Genomic DNA, 4,922 nt, shown 5'->3' on the forward strand with positions numbered 1-4,922 from the left:
TGGCTTCCAAAACCAGCTCCACTGTGCACTGTGTGGCCTTGGGCAGGCTCATACCCTGAGAACCTTGGTTACCCCATCTATAAAATAAAGATAGTAATATATATCTCAAGGGTGCTGATAAAGCTTAAATGGAACAAAGTAATGTATATGCCTGAACATAAGTGAGAATTTATCCAAACGATTCCGAGGAAGAAACCTTATATTTGAGACTGCACAAAGGCTGGAATATAATGGGGAACACTCTCAATTAGGTTATTTTGAACAATAAGGTAGTGTTTGGGTAAGGCCCAGCCTGAAACAATCTCAATGCCCATTTGAGGGGCTTTAGAGATTTTTAGATAGAATCTATGGGATAAAAAAAGGACAGTAATTATTACTGGAAATGAGGCTTCTCACTTGCAAGTGATGGATGTAATGGTAAATAAGCCCTTTGAAGATCATTCTTAGATCATAAATACCTACCTATGAGAAAACAAGGCCAGGTATGGTAGCTCATGCCTGTAATCCCAGAATTTTGGAAGGATTGTTTGAGGCTAGGAGTTAAAGACCAGTTACGGACCCTGCCTTTAAAAAAAAATTAGCTGAGCATGGTGGGGCATGCCTGTAGTCCCAGCTACTCAGGCAGGGGGATCACTTGCACTCAGGGGTTCAAGGCTGCAGTGAGCTATGATCGCTCAACTGCACTCCAGCCTGGGTGACAGAGTGAGACCCTGTCTCTAAGAAAGCAAACAAACAAAAAAAGGAAAAAAGTATGTATATAACAGTTCTGATGTTATAAATTGTGAATTGCTTTTCTCCTTCCTTCCTTCCTTCCTTCCTTTTCTCCTTCTGTGGCTTGGGATAAAATTTCCAGTGACAGGCTTATGTATGATCTTGAAAAACATACATGGAAGAAGTTGAAATGCTCTAGAAAACAAAGTCTGATAACTCAGAAGGTGGCTTCAGGGAGGTCAGGACACTGGTATTGGAAATGAATATGAGAAGTTTGAATACAACTGTTTCATGAACTGTGGGTGTGGAAAATAACATTTTAAAATATATCATTTTATATACTGTGTGATTTCAAATATTTTTCTAATTAAATGTTCTATTGTAAGTGGACATTTACCTATCTCATCTACTGCCCTATATGTCTATATATTAAAATTGGGGAAAGTTCTTTTGGGGTAGCACAGGTCCCTGGGGACTGTAAGGGACTGGGGGATATTTTTTCTTCCGTATCCACTTCACTGCACATGTCAGCTTCTTTCCTCCCTCACTGTGATTTGCCTTCTGAGCTTTCCTGGTCATGTCAAGGGAAAAATGGCTCCCACAACTCCACAGTTTTTATGTCTTACTTGTTGAAGGCTTTGGTCCACACCGAGACTGGAATTGCTGAGCCTCTATTCAGTGTTTTCCCAGGTGAGATTCAGGCTGTCCTGGGTCAGGTCAGGGGTTCAGCCCTGGACCACTGAGCTGTGGCCAGGGCCACTTTGTACAGACATGGCTTCCGGAAGCTTGTCCCTCCCACCCTACGTTCAGCTGGCAACAAAGTGTCCAGTGTCAGGGACAAGACATTTCTAGGGGTCCTGAAGACATTTACAGGGACTGAATTCAGTATGAGATGGGGGTTTTTGAGCAGTGAGCTACGTCTGAGGAAAGTTGATCTGGTAATAATGTAAGGAACAATTTCAGAGGTGAATAACAATTTACTAGGAATTATTTTATGGGATTGGGGGAGGAGAATTGGGAAGGCTTTGGGGCCTTCAAGAGTTTTCTAATAATAAATTGCAAAAGGTAGGGAGGGAACTGCCTTTTTTGCAGTTATCCCCTGTGAGTTGACAAAAACATGGTGGCAGTGAGGGGAAAAGAAGCCAGAGGAGAGAGGCTTCATGAGGAAGACCTGTGGTAGGGCTTGGGGTGGGGCGCACTGCTCAGCCTTGGTCCTGAGCCCCATCTCACCTGGGTGCTCCTGGTGAGGTGGAAGTGCGGTTGCTGATAGCTGACAGGCCTGGCTAGGAAGCAGAGCTCTTGGCCTGACACACCAGGGGCAGGCTGGGCTTCACCTCTGTGGGCAAGGCAGCAAGCAGTGAGCCAGGGCAGCGTGACAGGACAGTGTGGTGACAGACCATAGTGAAACGTGAGGGGAGCCCTGAGTCACTGCATTTGGTGGAGTCCACTGAGTGTGCGGTGTAGATAAAGACACCCACGAGCGCACTCCACAGCCCTCACCCAGGAGAGCAGGCCCACTGGGGCCAGGCGGTGACTCAGAATGCAGCCACGTAGATAACCGCTGACTCAGTTATAAATTCCTTAGCTCCCTCCGCAGGCCTGGGTTTGAGGGACAGGTGACTCACAGACTGACCCTCTCTTTGGTCTGGTTTTTCAGAGGGTTATCTTTAGATCTCCAGGTCATCCCAACCTCTAGGACACCCCTGGTCTGAAGGCCGAGCCAGCCATATTAATGTTCTCAGCACACACTTGGCTTACTCACTGGGATTTCTGTTCCAGCAGCCTCTCCGTTCTAGTTGTGTATCCACTACACACATTTTTGGTTGGTGTCTACAATGCCTCGGCTCCATGCTGGGCACTGAGGACACTGCAATGCACCAGAAATGATCCCTGCCCTGCAGGAGCTGCAATTGCCTCTTGGTGACTGTTTCTGACACACTTTATGTGGAAGTTGGTTCAATCAGGAAAGAGACACCTCTTTGGACCCCCATCTCTCACCCAGTCCACACTTCCTGGTGGTGACTGGTCGGCTCCCTAGTTTCCTGGTCTGGCCTGAGCAGCCGGATCTTCTCCTACGTACCTGCTTCATTTTTCCTGCTGCCTGAAGAGAGTAAGTCTGCTTCCTTCCACTACGTGGGTAGTAATGTGGGAGTGTTTTGATAGCTAAAGGGCCGCTTGCGTGTTTGTACTGAGTTTCACACACATGCAGAGGCACCCAGCCCTGCACCAAGACTCCTGGAGATTGTCCATGGACTCACCCTGGGACAACAGTCACCCCATTTAGTGAGCCTGTGTTTTATGTGCAATTTGATGATCATAGTAGCTCTGTGAGATAGAGTTTCATCAGATATTTAATATCAGATTGTATTAACATCATTATTACTTTACAGGTCAGGAAACTTAGGCTCAGAAAAGTTGCCTAAGATCCCACAGCTTTTAAGCTTTTAAGAGGCAGTTCTGTTTCACCCTAAAACCTGCTGCTCTTAATGACTTGTACATATTGTTCCAACCCTAGGGTGAGTTCTCTGCCCTCTTGGGAGCATCCTCATTTTGAGATCAGGGGTTCTTCATCTTTTGACTTTCCAAGACCCCAAACCTCATCGGAGCACAGCAGGTACAGGCTGGCAGCAGAAGGAAGGGACAAGATCTAGATAACAGTGTGTGGGTGCAGATTCAATAAAAGTAGAGAACTCAGTATTGTGGGGGCCGAGTGACCAGGGCTTGTGATGGACTGAAGGATGGATTGCGGCAAGGCTGTGATATAGATATGATTTCTCATCAGGCTCCAAGCCCTTTAATAATATCTCCTCATGGTCCTGGTTTAGTGGGCTACTCTTTTAGATGAGCCCCACCTCTGCTGCCTATTCCAAGAATGTGATGAGAGAAGGGTGCTAGAATTATGATCACATGCTTTTGAGCTGGAGGGGTCTCAGAGCTCATTTAATCCAATTTCCTCAGGTAATAGGCAAAGAAAATGAGAGATAGAGGAGCTTCTGTGACTTTCCTGAAATGGTGGCAAGACCGAGACTGGAACACAGGTCCCTGTTCTACCCAGTGCTCTTTCTCTGACATCACCTCTCAGTACTCTGAACAGGATTACAGGCAGCTTGAGAGTCTATAAATTTGGGATAAAATACAACAAAGCTTTCATCTTACAAGTCCACACAGATGGGCTACTCCTTCCCCATCCTCTGGCCCTCCTCTCCAAGTAACCTATCTCATTATTCCATTCTAGGCCCTTGGGACCCATCCTCCCCCGTCCTTTATTTGTGTAGTCTTATGAAGAATCCGCAGCGTAAGAATTACTTTCTAACAATGGCATCTAAGAGTGGAAAGTTTAACTGTAAGTTTGGCGGGCAGAGCAAGCATTGTATTCATCTGCAGATGGCCTTTCTCTCTCTTTTGGCATTGATAACTGTCAGTTAGTTCCCCTCCACCCCACAAGAACCTGTATTTGGCAGAATAGATATGTCAGCATTCTTGTAAAGTACATTTTTTCTTTGTGAGAGGCCTTGCAAAATGAGTCCTTAGCTTTCTTCCACTGGCTTCAAAGTGTCTCCTCCTGTGAACATGCTTGATTCCCTTTGGACTATGCTGTGATGAGGTGTGATGTTATGGAAAGATTTAGTTCCTAAAGTCAGATAGCTCCTAGGTTGAGTCCTGGCTCCACCGCTTTAATAGTAGTGAGACCTTGGAAAAGATACTTAGCTCCAAATCTTGACTTCCCTACCTGTAATATGGGAACATTGGGGATCACTCAAGAAAAGGTATATGAAGGGGCCTCCCACGTAAGATGGTCTGGATGCCTCCTGGAAAAGATAGCTTTATCTTTAGGAAGCTGAGGAGATTTGGCTGCCAGTTGTTGCCCGAGAAGGGTAAAGACTTTAACTTCAGGTAAACCTCACAGTCATCGCTTTGGTACACACGTATTTGTGTACCATAAATAATAAATAACAAAAAATAATTGTTTTAAATAAAAATTTTTTAAGATAAAAAATATTTTTAAAAATAATATATTTAGATAGATATTTTAAAACAATTATTTAAATATAATGTATTTAAATAATTTAATTTAAATTAAATAATTAAATTATATTTAAATTTATTATTTAAATATTTTTAAAAAATAATTATTTAAAAATATATTTAAATAATTATTTTTAAAAATAATTATTAAAAAATATTTTTTAAATAAAAAATTGTTTAATAAA

The 4,922-nt window shown here is 43.5% G+C and overlaps 3 annotated features.

The window, feature by feature from the left end:
- Window positions 1,577–2,078: an enhancer, noted in NCBI's record as "H3K4me1 hESC enhancer chr1:115721603-115722104 (GRCh37/hg19 assembly coordinates)". NCBI's record gives its function as "activates a minimal SCP1, AML or CMV promoter by ChIP-STARR-seq in naive H9 embryonic stem cells {active_cell/tissue: H9 hESC(naive)}" and the evidence as "EXISTENCE:reporter gene assay evidence [ECO:0000049][PMID:30033119]".
- Window positions 1,577–3,054: a biological region, named in NCBI's record as "BRD4-independent group 4 enhancer GRCh37_chr1:115721881-115723080".
- Window positions 1,855–3,054: an enhancer, noted in NCBI's record as "BRD4-independent group 4 enhancer chr1:115721881-115723080 (GRCh37/hg19 assembly coordinates)". NCBI's record gives its function as "activates an origin of replication core promoter dependent on BRD2, P300/CBP, MED14 and CDK7 cofactors, and independent of BRD4, by STARR-seq in HCT116 cells {active_cell/tissue: HCT116}" and the evidence as "EXISTENCE:reporter gene assay evidence [ECO:0000049][PMID:35650434]".

The sequence above is a fragment of the Homo sapiens genome, chromosome 1 (assembly GCF_000001405.40).
Source record: "Homo sapiens chromosome 1, GRCh38.p14 Primary Assembly".
Taxonomy (NCBI): Eukaryota; Metazoa; Chordata; class Mammalia; order Primates; family Hominidae; genus Homo; species Homo sapiens.